The sequence below is a fragment of the Homo sapiens genome, chromosome 8, assembly GCF_000001405.40.
Source record: "Homo sapiens chromosome 8, GRCh38.p14 Primary Assembly".
In the NCBI taxonomy this organism is placed as follows: Eukaryota; Metazoa; Chordata; class Mammalia; order Primates; family Hominidae; genus Homo; species Homo sapiens.
The window spans coordinates 133,522,025-133,535,374 of record NC_000008.11 but is presented as its reverse complement, the minus strand read 5'-3'; the positions used below and the strand labels follow the sequence as shown (position 1 = coordinate 133,535,374).

The window sequence follows — 13,350 nt, the reverse complement described above, 5'->3', positions numbered from 1 at the left end:
AGTGAATATGCCTATGTATGTGAAAGTGCTTAGAACCCTGCTAGACACAGCAGTCTCTAACAGCCAGTATTCTATAGATCTATAGAGAATATGAAGCTAAAGATGTGGCTATGGATATAGATATAGATATAATGTAGCTCTAGCCTGGGCTCATCACCCCAAATGTAGTACCTGCCATGTCTGCAGGACTTGGTCTGTGAGGTTTGCATGTGCTCTTCTCTACCTGGAATGCCCTTCTCTTGCTTTCCTGGGGAGCCCTCAGCTTTAGCGTTGTCTCTTCCGGGACTCCTCCTCCCGCTTTCCACTCCATCCTCAGCTGCAGGGCTTCTCCCTCGTCAGCCCTCAAACCCCTGCCTGTGTCTGCCTTCCTTTCACTGACCACACTGTCTTGTGAGGAAGGGCTCATGTACCTTTCCTTTTCCCCTGCTGCACTGGGAGCCCCTTGAGCGGTGGTAGCCTATGCTTTATTCTTCATTGGACTCACAGAGCACCCTGTGGGCCAGGCATGCCTTTCCCTCACCAGCACCGAGACTGGTGCTCTGAAGGCTGTTGCAGTGTGTCCATTTGTGTCAGCCGCACAGAGCCAGCCCAGCTGCTGGTTTGATAGACATGATATCTGGCTAGCTGGCCTTGCTACTGGCCTGGACACATGCCTGGGCCCCCTTGGGGATTAATTCTCTCTTCTTTAGCTCCTCCGACTTGCCTCCAGCCTTTGGAGAACTGGAAATGGGCGGACCCCATGTCTGTGGGCTCCTGGTCCTTTCACTTTGCTATCCACGCCTTATCTGCGTTCCATGCAGGCCAGAATACAGAATACCTGCTGTTTGCAGCCCTGTCTGCCTCCAATTAACTTAGGCAAACACACCCTGCCAAAATATCCCACGGCCCTTTCTGATACGGATGGCATGGGGTGAAGGAGGAAGGAGACACGAGTGAACCCAAAGCCAGTGTGTCTGAAATCCATTTGGCAAGCATTTGTGCCATGTCCTATAATATATATATGTCCATATATATATTATAACATATAATATTATATAATATATGTCCAATGCCTGTGTGGGGAAGTCACTTCACCATTTTGCTCAATGGCAATGAAGAAATGGCATTCATGTAAACACTTTCTCAGTCTCTAAAAATATCCTTTGTGCTGGAGGATTGGGTGTCAGAAGAAGAGGACGAAGGGAAGGCCTTTGGGTCTGGGGAGATGATTTGCTTATTCTGTTGGTTGAATAGAATGGAATTGGCTTTCTGCACTTTGCAATCTCGACAGATGGTCAGTCATCTAACTGGAACCTCCTTGGGGGTTGGGCCCGTTTTTTTCCCCATTGAATCCCCAGTACTTTGGTGGAGGAGAGGTCACTCAGGGAGTGTTCTGGAATTGCCCCAAACAATTATGCTATATGGTTGTATTGTGTTAATATTTCATCAAGAGGAAGTGCCATACTTAAGTACTCATCTCTCCCTGTTGCTGCTTATTTGCATATTAACGTATGTCATCATCATCATTATCACAAACACCACCGTGTTGCCTTTAGCATTTTCTGTCATTTGAACTATGTCCTTTCGATAAGTTCCCAGGAGAGAGATACTGAAAACGCTTTGAAGGTTCTTGCCACCTGTTACCCATTGTGACTTTGCTGTGAAATTAGGAGTGGAAGGGAGATGGAGATGGGGGAACAAGAGCTGGAAGGGGATCCCTATTGAGGCTGGGACAGGGAGCAGTACAAAGGTCAGGATACAGCCACAGTGGGATTGTTTGACGGGCAAGTGGATCTGCCTCCAATGGGGCACAGAGTGCAAGTCAGGGAGGAATGGGGAGCTGGGAGGGATGGACACACGGATGAAAAGACAGGAAGTTCAGACAGAGGAACTCGCTCCTGATAGGAGAGAAAGCCCATTCTCATGGCTCTCATTTCTTGGGGACTAATGTGCGGTGAGTTGGTGGGGAGCGGGGTGAGCTCTCACACCTGTGTGTAGGCTGCTCGAGAGCCCATGCCTGCACTAGAGCCCATGACTCACCTCAAGTCCATTTGAAAAATTAGGGTGTTGGTAATTCACGGGGAAAAATAGCACAGACAAGGATCATGAGATCCTGGGTGTCTGCAACACCTGCACGTCATTCTCTCTGGTCCCCAGGGTACCACAGACTTAAGGAATTTTACACAACTCTGAGGTTTGGAATTCTATGGGTCTCCACGGAATTCAGAGTGCCATTGGACTGCGGGGGCGCTGGGGGACTAGAAGGCCCACATTCCATGGAAATCCAGGGATTCCAGGAATTCCAGCATCCAGCGGAAATTCAGAGAACCATGGCCCCTGAGTAATTCCTCTGAAGGAAACGTAGTCAAGAAAGACTAATTAATTTATACCTACTCCTTCAGCTCCAGCCCGGCACTTAATTAGTACCTTAGTGGTTTCAACGAATGAATATGGGAAAGAGTGAGAGAAGGAGTGAAGCAGAAGTTAGCCCTCCAAAGCTATGCTTCTCGTCCCCAAACTATCACCCCCTCCACGCTGGGGAGGAGCATGTGGCTGTCCCAGCACCTGCGGACTCTTCTGGCATTTTGTAGGTGAGGGCTAAGGATGCTATAGATCCTGCACAAGGGCAGGAAGAACAGTTCTGGCAAATTGCTAAACGTGTCCTCCTCAGAACACCACTGGACATTCGGTACTGAGGAACAGCAGAGTATGGCATCACACGAGCCGCCCCAAAGTTTTTGCTCTCGAGGATGAGCCTTTCACTCTATTACTATTGATTGGTCCCAAGTAGCTTTTGATGTCATGGCTTTTATCTGTTAATATGTATCATATTCTATATTAAAATTGAGGAATTATTTCAATATTTATTTAGTACTTCATTTGAAAAATCACAATAAAGAATCTATCATATGGTAACATAAATGACTTTTTTTTTTGAGACAGAGTCTCGCTCTGTTACCCAGGCTGGAGTGCAGTGGTGCAATCTCGGCTCACTGCAACCTCCGCCTCCCAGATACAAGCGATTCTCCTGCCATAGCTGGGATTACAGGTGCATGCCACTGCACCCGGCTAATTTTTGTATTTTTAGTAGAGATGGGGTTTCACCATGTTGGCCAGGCTGGTCTCGAACTCCTGACCTCAGGTGATCCACCCGCCGCAGCCTCCCAGAATTCTGGGATTACAGGTGTAAGCCACTGTGCCCATCCCATAAATGACATTTTCATGAAAAAATAACTACTTACCCAAACAAACAACAACAACAACAAAATTAGAAGAGTGGTATTATTTTACAGATCCCTTTACTATCTGGCTTAAAGGAAAACAGCTGGGTTTTCATCTCTGCCTCTGTATTCAGTCTTTCGTGAAATCAGATGTCATTTGTCTCTGGGGAGCTCTACTGTACATGCAGGACAGAATGAGTGTGAAAGAGTAAATGAAGCCTTCGTCTCATTATGAAAATGGCTTTGATATCATGGATTCCCCAGAAGTATCTTAATGACTCAGAGATCCCTGAAACGTAGTTTTACGAACCGCAGTACAGTGGTTAAGAACATGGCTTTTTTTTTTTTTTTTTTTTTTTTCTGTTTTTAAGTTTCGGGATACAAGTGCAGAACGTGTGGGTGTGTTCCATAGGTATACATGTGCCATGGTGGTTTGCTGCACCTGTCAACCCATCATCTAGGTTTTAAGCAGGCATTAGCTATTTGTCCTAATGCTCTCCCTCCCCTCACCCCCTGACTGGCCCTGGTGTGTGTTGTTCCCCTCCCTGTGTCCATGTGTTTTCACTGGAGAAGAACATGGCTTTTTAAGCAGGCTGCCTGGGGTCAGGGAGGTGGCAGGGAGGAACTGCATCCTGGATCCACTTGCAGCCCACTGGGTTACCATAGACAAGAGATTTCACTTCCCTGCACCTCACTTCCTCTGTAAAGTGGGATAATAGTAGCTACTCGTAGGATTATTGTAAGAGTTACATTAGTTAATATTTTAAAGCTCTTAGAACAGCCAGGTACATATTAAACGCTATACAGGTTATGTATCTATAGCTACACACACATATCACATACATACTATATACATACATGTGTTTATATGTACACATACATAATGTATATATACTATATGTGTGAGTATATATGTGTGTGTACTATATAGTCATGTATATTTATGCTATATATATATTACATATACTAAAACCAATTGAAAAATCACAAATGTTACTATAGCAAAAGTCACCCATTTCACATTATTTCTAAAAATATGAATGTGTAAGAGCTATTTCTTAAGGCAGCTTTTCTATCCCCTACTAAGAGCGGGGGACAGCCACTGCTGTGTTTGGGGTGCTGCAGAGCATAATCATAAATGTGGGAGTCCAGATACAGGTCAGCTGTTAGGGCTCCAGGAGTCTGCGGACCCCTGCCCTCACCTCTTTGTGTCACCGGAGCTCCGGATTAAGGGCTTTCTGACAACTCCTGACCACACTCCTCATCTTCTTTCCCTCCCTTTGCTGATGAAGCAACTGTCTTCATTTAGCTGCCTGATGGAGAACATCTGCCTCCAGGCACCACAGAAATCAAAGAAGGAACCCACGATGCTGGCCCCAGGAAGTCCCCAGAAACCCCAGGCTGCTCCTCCTGTCACACAGGATGCTTTTCCCGAAATGCTTTTTGTCTGGAAGCTCTCCATATGAGCTTTACAAAGGCATGTGCATTCCCTTAGCCTTTGAAAACTCTCATAGGTTCAAGAACAACAACAACAAAAGCCTTGGTGTCAGTGATCTGAGCACAGCATTGGAGTATGCTAAGAAGGCATCAGGGACTGGGCACGGTGGCACATGTCTGTAATCCCAGCACTTTGGGAGGCCGAGGCGAGTGGATCACCTGAGGTCAGGAGTTCACAACCAGCCTGACAAACATGGTTAAACCCCATCTCTACTAAATACAAAAAATATTAACTCAGCGTGGTGGCACATGCCTTTAATCCAAACTACTTGGGAGGCTGAGACAGGAGAATTGCTTGTACTTGGGAGACAGAGGTTGCAGTGAGCCGAGATGGTGTCATTGCACTTTAGCCTGGGCCACAAGAGCAAAACTCTGTCTCAAAAAAAAAAAATAAAAATAAAGAAAAAAAAAAGAAGGCCTCAGGACACTGGCTCCTTGTCCTCTGAGTGCCTGCTGTGCGTCCAGGTCCTCAGCGTGATGCTCACCTGGAAGGCATTCTGAATAGGACAAGACCCACCATGTCACCCCCCCTGCTCTAGTTTATTCATTAATTCAATTATCAAATGTCAGTGGAATGCCTTCAAGGGCGGGGCAGGGTTCAGAGCCCTGGGGACACTTCCATAAACTCACAAGCAAACGTTCCTTGCGAAACCTACAGTTCAGTCAAGGAGACTTCTAATAAATAACAAAGTTAACAAATAAGAGATTTCATGATGTGTAGGAGAACAGGTGCTAGAAAGGAGCGGGCAGGGGGCTGGGGAGTGCTGGCAGCAGAGGGGCCCGGGGTCAGCAACACTGAGAAGAGAAAGATGAGCAGAGACTTGAGGAAGGCAAGAACCTTGTCCACGTGGGTGTCTGGGGGACAGCCCTCAAATGGGGGTTACAAAGCTATGCCTGGTGAGTCAGGGAACTGAGAGTCTGGGAACCTGGGCAGTGCATGAGGGGCTAGTGGGCAAATGAGATGAGAAGGGGGTGGCCAGACCAGAGGGGTTCTTGTTGACCTTTGGTGACATGACATGCCTCCAAGGTAAAACTGCCCCTTGCTGGACTGCAGTGACTTCCTGTTGCTGACTTCCTAGGCTTCTCTGGCCATCTACCCTAGAGCCCACCATGGGGCCCGGAGCCCCTCCTCTGGGTCCCTTGATATTCCATGTTAGCTCTCGCCTGGCGTCCTCACCTTCAGGTGGGAGTTCATCTGTCTGCCTGTCTGCCTCCCCTGTTAGCTGGGCCTCTCAATTTTCCATCCCACCATAAGGGACAGCCAGCAGGTCCTGAGTTTTACGACCTTGTACATTTGCTCGGTAGCAGCACCTTCGACCTATAAGCTCCCAAGGCCCATCTCTCTTCTTCATCAGAACTGCCGCATCCTCTCTGGCCCGCTTTCTGTCTGGCATTTGCCTGACATATTCCTCCAGTAGATGCCAAATTCCACAGGGCGAGGACCTAGTCGTTCTCCATCTGCGTCACCTTAAGCACTGTGGCAAGAGGGCTAGAAAGCCGGTCCCATTGGTGGGAGGACCCATCACCACAGGGGTTGGCCCGCGAGCCCCGTATGCCTGGCCCTGCCCAGCTGTCTGCAAATCTGTGTATGCTCTGCTCGGTCACCACTGGTTCGCTTTGTCCCACCTGTGCTGTGTTTCTCTACTAGCTTGTTAGTTGCAGAGCCCCATGTGTCTTAGCACAGGCTGATTCCTCTACCAGAAATGCCATTTTTTCTGTTTATTCATCCAGCAAGTGTATTTACTGACCCTTGCTAACTCATGGGAAGGACCATCTCCATTGGGAAGCTGATGCCCCGTCTTGTGACACGTTTTCATCTGGTCACATTGGACTGCGAATGCAAAGCCCTGGGGTGGAGAGGGGAAATGTGGTCCTACCCTTGGAGCCCTAATACCCTAGCTCCAGGGGCAGCAAATGTTTTCTGTAAAGGGCCAGGCAGTAACTATTTTAGGTTTTGTGGGCCAAATCATATCTCTCATGACTATTCACATTTGCTGTTGTAGCACAAAGCAGCCATAGACAAAACATAAATGAATGAATGTATTTGTGTTCCACAAAACTTCATTTACAAAAATAGGTGGGAAGGCCAGGTTTGGCCCGTGGGCTGTCATTCGATGACCCCTGGTCTTGACTCAGTGTAGGCTGTAGAGGGAAACAGCTTGTATAGCTCAATGTACTTGTTAATTGCTAATTACTAGTGTTCCCATCACTGGACAGAGACTCTTCCAGGGCACAGACTGTCCTGCAGTCAGGATTGTGCCCTCAATGCCTAGCACAGTGCCTGACACAGGACAGGCATGCAGGATATGTGAATAAATCAATGAGCAAGTGAATGGAAATTCTGTAGGTACTGAGCTTAGCAATCTAGGCTAGGTCCTGCTCCTTCCCTGCAGGCACAAAATGCTGGCAAGGGGCTTGGTGTGGTCTCTGGGGGCCCTAGGAGTGAAACTAAATAGGTTTCTCCAAGTGCATCATTTCTGGGTAATTTTTTTTTTCTTTTATTTGAGACAGAGTCTCGCTCTGTCACCAGGCTGGAGTGCAGTGGTGTGACCTTGGCTTACTGCAACCTCCGCCTCCCGGGTTCAAGCAATTCTTCTGCTTCAGCCTCCCAAGTAGCTGCTACTACAGGTGTGCGCCACCACACCCAGCTAATTTTTTTTTTTTTTTTCAGTAGAGATGAGGTTTCACCATGTTGGCCAGGATACTCTCAATCTCTTGACTTCGATCTGCCCACTTTGGCCTCCCAAAGTGGTGGGATTATAGGCGTGAGCCACCACGCCCAGCCCATTTCTGGGTAATTTTAATGAGCTCTCGATGGGAATGGGCTCAGTCCCCTGGGGTGGCCAGAGCCCATCTGGATTGACTTCAAGGAGTTATGATGCGAGCTGGGGTAGGTGGAGACCTTGCAGTCTGGGACCGCCCAGCAAGCAAGCTGTTTTTCCTTCCCCCAGATCTTCTCCAGCTCTGCGTGAGCCATGGGCTGAGTCCTGGCATATAGTTCTCCCGTGCCTAGGATGAGCCAAATGCTATTTTGGTTGCACGCACATGATGTCATTTAATTGTCATGACAACCTAGGTTGTGAATATTATCATTATCCTCATTTTACACAGGGTAAACTGAGTCACAGATCTGTGGCTTGCCTGACGTCACACTGTAGCTTAGGGCAAAGTTGGGATTTGAACCTGGCAATCTGATTCCAGGCTCCTTGCTCATAACCGTCATTATTCTAAGCTGACATGCAGTGTAAAGGATTCAGACTTGCAGGGACCAAGAGTGGACACTTCTCACCCCACCACCTCAACCCCTTTACTCCCGATGCCGACACTGTTGCACAGAGAACTAAAGTAATTGGCCCCAGACCACATGGCATTAGTAGAGGCAGAATTTGAAGCTGGGTGATTCGATTTCCAACTCAATGCTTTCTCCACAAGCTCAAGCCCCTCTTTTGGCTTGGCACCTGTAGGCAAACAGAGGCAAGTCTCTCCCCTCTTTCTCTCTGCCTCCCCTCCCCTCAGAGTAGAACAACCTCTCATTTTATCCTTTGTTAAAGAGCAGCCCCTTCACAAAGAAGTGACAGTACGAACTTGCACCTTAGTTAGCATGGATGGGTGCCCTGGGCCTTCAATCAGTCAGGTCAGGGATCAGGTGAGCTTGGGCAAGTCTCCTCACCTCTCTGACCCTCTGTTTTCTTGTCTAGTGACTAGGGGTACAAGGCCTGACTTCGCTGAGTTGTTCTGAGAACTGAGTGCAGCGATATGTCTCAGTGTCTGCCTGTCACAGCCCTTGGCCTTCAGCAAATGTGGTTTCCTGTCCTGCTTCCTCATCTCTCCCCACAGCTCCCTCGCCCACTCTGCCCCAGGAACAACAGTGCACCCCACCCACTGTACTCAGCTGGAAAACTGCATCCAATGACCTCTCTTCTAAGCAACCACTCTGACGTCACCTTGTGCAACATTCTAGGTCCATCCAGGAAGCAACGTCAGGCTATTTCTACCCCAGGCACTGTGGCAGCTCACTTTTTTCTTCTTGCCCTGTAATTACAGGGTTTTGCAGTGGTTTCTCTGTTGCCTAAAAGTCTCAAAATTTTCTTTGTTTCTCCGTAACACATAATTGTATCTCAGGAACCCACAAGCCATTAGGTCCCTGACCCTCAATAGATGTCCTTTTCTATGGAGACAGACATCTAGATCAAAAGAAAGATGCTGGCTGGTTGGAGCAAACTATTTGATTAGACAAAACCCTTCATGAGGCCTCTACATGGATTTTGTGGCCCTGGGTGGTTGGAGAGACTTAGGAGCCTTCATGAACTTTTCTACTTCCCCTGTTTTTGATGTAGAATTATCTGCAGGAGCCCAGGTCCCAGACTCTGGCTGGGGAATGAGTATGGTAGAATAATAGCAGAGGGTGGGGGCTCTAGTGTCTAGGAGACACAGGGATGGGTAGAGTTGCCATGTTTGCAAAGGTGGGCATCCTCAGCTCTTGAGCTTGCCTGAACGCAGGCTGCCTGGAGCCTGACCCAACTTTCCTAATTCATGGCTACCTTTGTGAGCTGAAAGAATTGTCAGTGATGGCAGCAGTGGCCTATCTGGAGCAGCTGCTGTGGGGATGCCAGCTGCAGCAGGGGAGGCATAGCTGGGGCTGCATGCTCCACAGAGCTGGCAGGGACCAGGAACAGGTGGGAACCCTGCCTTCTATCAAGTTGGCAGGGCAGGAGCCCTGAGCTCCCAGGCACAGCTGCAGCTACCTAGCCACAGCTCTGGACCCAGGCATCCCTCTGCTCTTGGGGACCCAGGAAGCCCCCCTGTCATGCAGGCTTGTAATTGCCTGCTCCCGCTCCCTGGCATCTCACCACTCCCAGTGTCCACTCTGATTTTTGGAGCAAAGTTGAAACTGAGCCTGGGTGCTGTCGCAACCCAGCTGGGTGTGTATGTACTCTGGGTGGTGTTGACATGCCAGACCCCTGTCATCTTGGCCCCCTCCAGACTTTGGTCACCGACAGGCACAGGAGGGAAGCCAAGAGGAGACTGAGGGCAGCTCAGTGCAGGCCTGCAGGCGTCCCTCAGCATGCACAGCCTGGGTGCTGTGGATGCCATGTTGATGGTAGCAGGAGGCAGACAGGCTCCTGGGCAGAAAGGGGCAGGTCCCAGGTGAAACACCACCTTCAACCCAGGGACAGCCTGAAGCCTGGGGGCCAGGCTGCCAGTTCCAGGGGGAGTCCATGGCCTAGAGGAAGAACTTATGGTGCTTTATCCAAGCCCATCCATGGCCATCCATGGACCAATCAGCACACACTTCCTCCCTTCTGAGCCCATAAAAACCCTGGACTCAGCCAGACATGTAGGTGTCAGGACTACCAGCTGCAGGAAGGAGCTACCCACTCTGGGTCTCCTTGACTCTTTGGGATGACCTAACTGCAGAAAGGAGCTACCCACTATGTGTCTTCTCTGCTGAAAGCTTGACATTCACTGGGACGACCTGCCTGTGGAAACGAGCTACCCACTGCAGGTCTCCTGAAAGCTGTTCTGTCACTCAGTGAGGCTCCTCTCTGCCTTGCTCACCCTCCAGTTGTCTGCATACCTCATTCTTCCTGGACATGGTACAAGAACTCAGGACCCGCTGAATGGTGGGACTGAAAGAGCTGTAACACAAACAGGGCTGAAACACACCCTCCTCCCTCCATTCACCACGTTGCAGGTGACAAGAAGGAGAGAAGAGCTGTGGCCCGTTGGGAAGCCCAGATCTAGGGGCTCCCCAAGCCAGGGCTGTGACACCTTCTTTGGGACTGCACAGTTCCTGGTGTCTCCAAGCTTCCGGGTGCCACCGTGTTCTCCTAGAACATTTCTAGATGTGTTACTTAGGAATGTGGCAGCTGTCTTGCTTCTTCATCCAGACATGGGTCCAGAAATGGGTGCCTGCAGCAGAAGCCATGTGTGGTACATCTGGTCCAGCCACAGACTCACATGGAGCTGGCACCTGTGCCAGTGCCCGGAGCTGTCCATCCTGTCGCAGCAACCAGCGTACCTGGCTGTGCACAGTGGCTGGACCCTGTGCTAGCTCACCCACACACCCCTTGCTGCTTCACGCCTGGCTTGCCCTTAGCAGGTGTGTGATCTAGGCTGGTAGCATAAGCTGAGCACAACCTGTTGGGCCAAGTGGGTGACATGAGCCCAGCAGGCATGAGCAATACTCAGGTAGAAGGCGCTGCTGGCCACAGAGGTGTCTGGCTGGCAAAGTGACACCCAAGGATCCTGTGACATCAGGATCTGCTCACCTGCAAAATGCTGGTCTCACCTGGGGCTGTAGTGTTGCCTGGTTGTTGAGAGCTCTGTCTCTAGGGGACAATGCCTGGGTTTGTGTCCTGGCTCTACCACTTTCTAGCTGGGAGACCTTGCACAAGTTCTTAACTCCTTTGTGTTTCACATTTTCATCTGAAAAATTGGGGTAATAATAGCTCATTCAGTCTTCATTAAAAGCTTAAGAGGTAGGTTTTTTAATTATTGTTCCAGGCTTTGCTTGAGCTGAGAGGGCCAGCGAGAGTCAAGGTATAGGAGCAATTGAGCAGAGAGAGTGTATCAGTCAGTTTTTGCTGTGTAACAAAACCATGAAATGGCATAAGAGCATTCATTCAGATTTCATAGGTCTGTGGGTCACATGTGGTGGTTCTGGCTTAGTCTTTGAGTTGAGTTGGCCCTGACTGGAGGGTCACAGGCTGCCTGAAGCATGTTTTTCTCATAATGGAGGTCAGAAGCTCCCCGAAGGACACAAAGCTCTTATGATTATGGTTCTGAACTGGCATCTTGACACTTCTTCCCACATTCCATTGGCTAAAGCGTGTCACAACATCCAGTGGGTGAAAAAATACACTCCCACTTCGAGAGACGAGGACGAGGGATAGAGACCCTTGTGGCTCCCATACCCAGCCTTCTGCCAGTCCGTTTGTACTTGTTCTCCAGCAAGAAGCTCAACAGACATTTGTCAATTGGTCATAAATCTGGTACCTAGGAATGGTGCTGACCTCTTGCAGGCCTCCAGGGAGGTCCTGAGAGTCCCATGAGAGTCGACTTTGCTTTGTCACAGAGCAGGACAAGTGGCCATTCCATCTGCAATAAGACCCTTCTAAATGCTCTGCAGGAACTCCTGATGCATCCTTCCAGTGCCCCTTTGAAGTAGCTGCCACTTTAAGCATCACCATCTTCACTTTACAGAGGAGGAAATGAAGGCACAGGGAGGTTGAGTTACTTGCCTGAGGGTGCCCAGCAAAGTGGGCAGAGCCAGATTGAGGCTCAGGTGGTTTGGCTGTGGAATCTCTGTACTGCTTCTAAGGGTGGAGAAAGCAACAGCTGCACACCTTTGTGACTTGTGCTAGGACAGAGGTGTGCATGGGGGTGTGGCAGTGTCTGTGAATTGAGACCTGGACCCTCCAGTCTCCCATGTTCTCTGTGGTGTTTGGGAGATTAGCAACCCCCCACAGAAGAGTTAGGACCCACTTCCCCTGCTCCCAGAAGCCACGCAACTCCCCTCTCAGCAGGGCAGAAGGGAGAGGCCCCTTGCTGCTCGCCAGGGCCCTGGGCCAGGTGGGAGTGACAGAGCGCAGCCCCATCTGTTTGAAATTAGAAGTGAATTGAGCACAGTTGTCCAGAAACTCCATGAAGTTTAGAAACACCGTGCTGAATGTCTCCCCCAGCAAGGCTGTCTCTTCTTGAGAGATTTCATCCCTGTCTCTTCCCCACAGTGCTCATTTTCTTAGCACCTTCTCTGCCCTAGGCTCTAGGGACAGAGACAGTGAGATGAGCCCCTTCCCTCGCCTGGTGAGGGTGTTGGGAGCACACCAGGAGGCCAGAGAAGGATTGTACTCCAGGGAGGATAGTGGTGGCAAAATAACGACAGTAATTAGTGTGTCCATTTAGTGTGTGCTTGTGGAGTGTCACGTGCTTAACACTGTGCCCCTTAGGCCAGTGTTATGTTTGTCTTCAGTTTTTGGATGAAACCCAGGCTCTCAGGGGTTAACTAGCAAGACCCTGCGGCCACCAGGTGACTCTGCTGGATATGAACGTAGGCTTTTCTGTGCCAGCGCCTCAGCACCCTGGACCAGCTGGGGTACAGGGTAAAGTACTCTGAGAGTCAGATCAGAAGGCTTAAGGTCCCACTTACTGCTCTGCCCCACACAGGCTGTGTGGCCTCAGGCAAGTCAGTTGACCTCTCTGAGCCTCAGACCCTCAGCTATGACTTGGAATTGCAACACATTTCCAGAGGGGTAGAGATCAAACCACACTGTGCCTGTGATGGGGCTTTGAATTAAAGCAGGGAACCTTCTGTGCCTGGAGAGCCTCAGCATCTAGGGGCAGTGTCCTGAGCCACCATTCCAGGGAAGCCATTTGCAATTTTTTTTAGATTTTTAAAAAATGTTGCTGGGTCTGCGTTTTTCCACATCCTCTGAACTTTCCTTCCTGCTAGCTTTCTATATTGCTTCCTACTTTTTCTCTGCTTTGGGTATAAGCTTCTAGGAATAGAATTTTAAATCTTAGATGGCTTCCCCATTCTATATAGCTCTTGGGAGTGCTCACGTCAAAGACTTCTGGGAGGCTTTCTGCCCAGAGTTGGGCTGCTGGAGAAGATTATAAAGGCACCACCATTTTTAAGGTTTTTGTTTTG

At 49.4% G+C, this 13,350-nt stretch overlaps 1 protein-coding gene across 6 annotated transcripts in view, besides 4 other annotated features; it reads left to right on the top strand.

The window, feature by feature from the left end:
- Positions 1 to 13,350, top strand: part of ST3GAL1 (ST3 beta-galactoside alpha-2,3-sialyltransferase 1) — a 117,040-nt gene that overhangs the window by 36,513 nt on the left and 67,177 nt on the right. The window lies entirely within an intron of this gene.
- Positions 2,210 to 3,060: an enhancer, noted in NCBI's record as "NANOG-H3K27ac hESC enhancer chr8:134544558-134545408 (GRCh37/hg19 assembly coordinates)". NCBI's record gives its function as "activates a minimal SCP1, AML or CMV promoter by ChIP-STARR-seq in naive H9 embryonic stem cells {active_cell/tissue: H9 hESC(naive)}" and the evidence as "EXISTENCE:reporter gene assay evidence [ECO:0000049][PMID:30033119]".
- Positions 8,409 to 8,568: an enhancer, noted in NCBI's record as "active region_28003". NCBI's record gives its function as "activates an Ori minimal core promoter by ATAC-STARR-seq in GM12878 lymphoblastoid cells {active_cell/tissue: GM12878}" and the evidence as "EXISTENCE:reporter gene assay evidence [ECO:0000049][PMID:35858748]".
- Positions 8,589 to 8,668: an enhancer, noted in NCBI's record as "active region_28002". NCBI's record gives its function as "activates an Ori minimal core promoter by ATAC-STARR-seq in GM12878 lymphoblastoid cells {active_cell/tissue: GM12878}" and the evidence as "EXISTENCE:reporter gene assay evidence [ECO:0000049][PMID:35858748]".
- Positions 11,549 to 11,718: an enhancer, noted in NCBI's record as "experimental_101228 CRE fragment used in MPRA reporter constructs". NCBI's record gives its function as "activates a minimal promoter by MPRAs in K562 erythroleukemia cells, with activity observed for the non-introgressed 8:134535985 variant allele {active_cell/tissue: K562}" and the evidence as "EXISTENCE:reporter gene assay evidence [ECO:0000049][PMID:34662402]".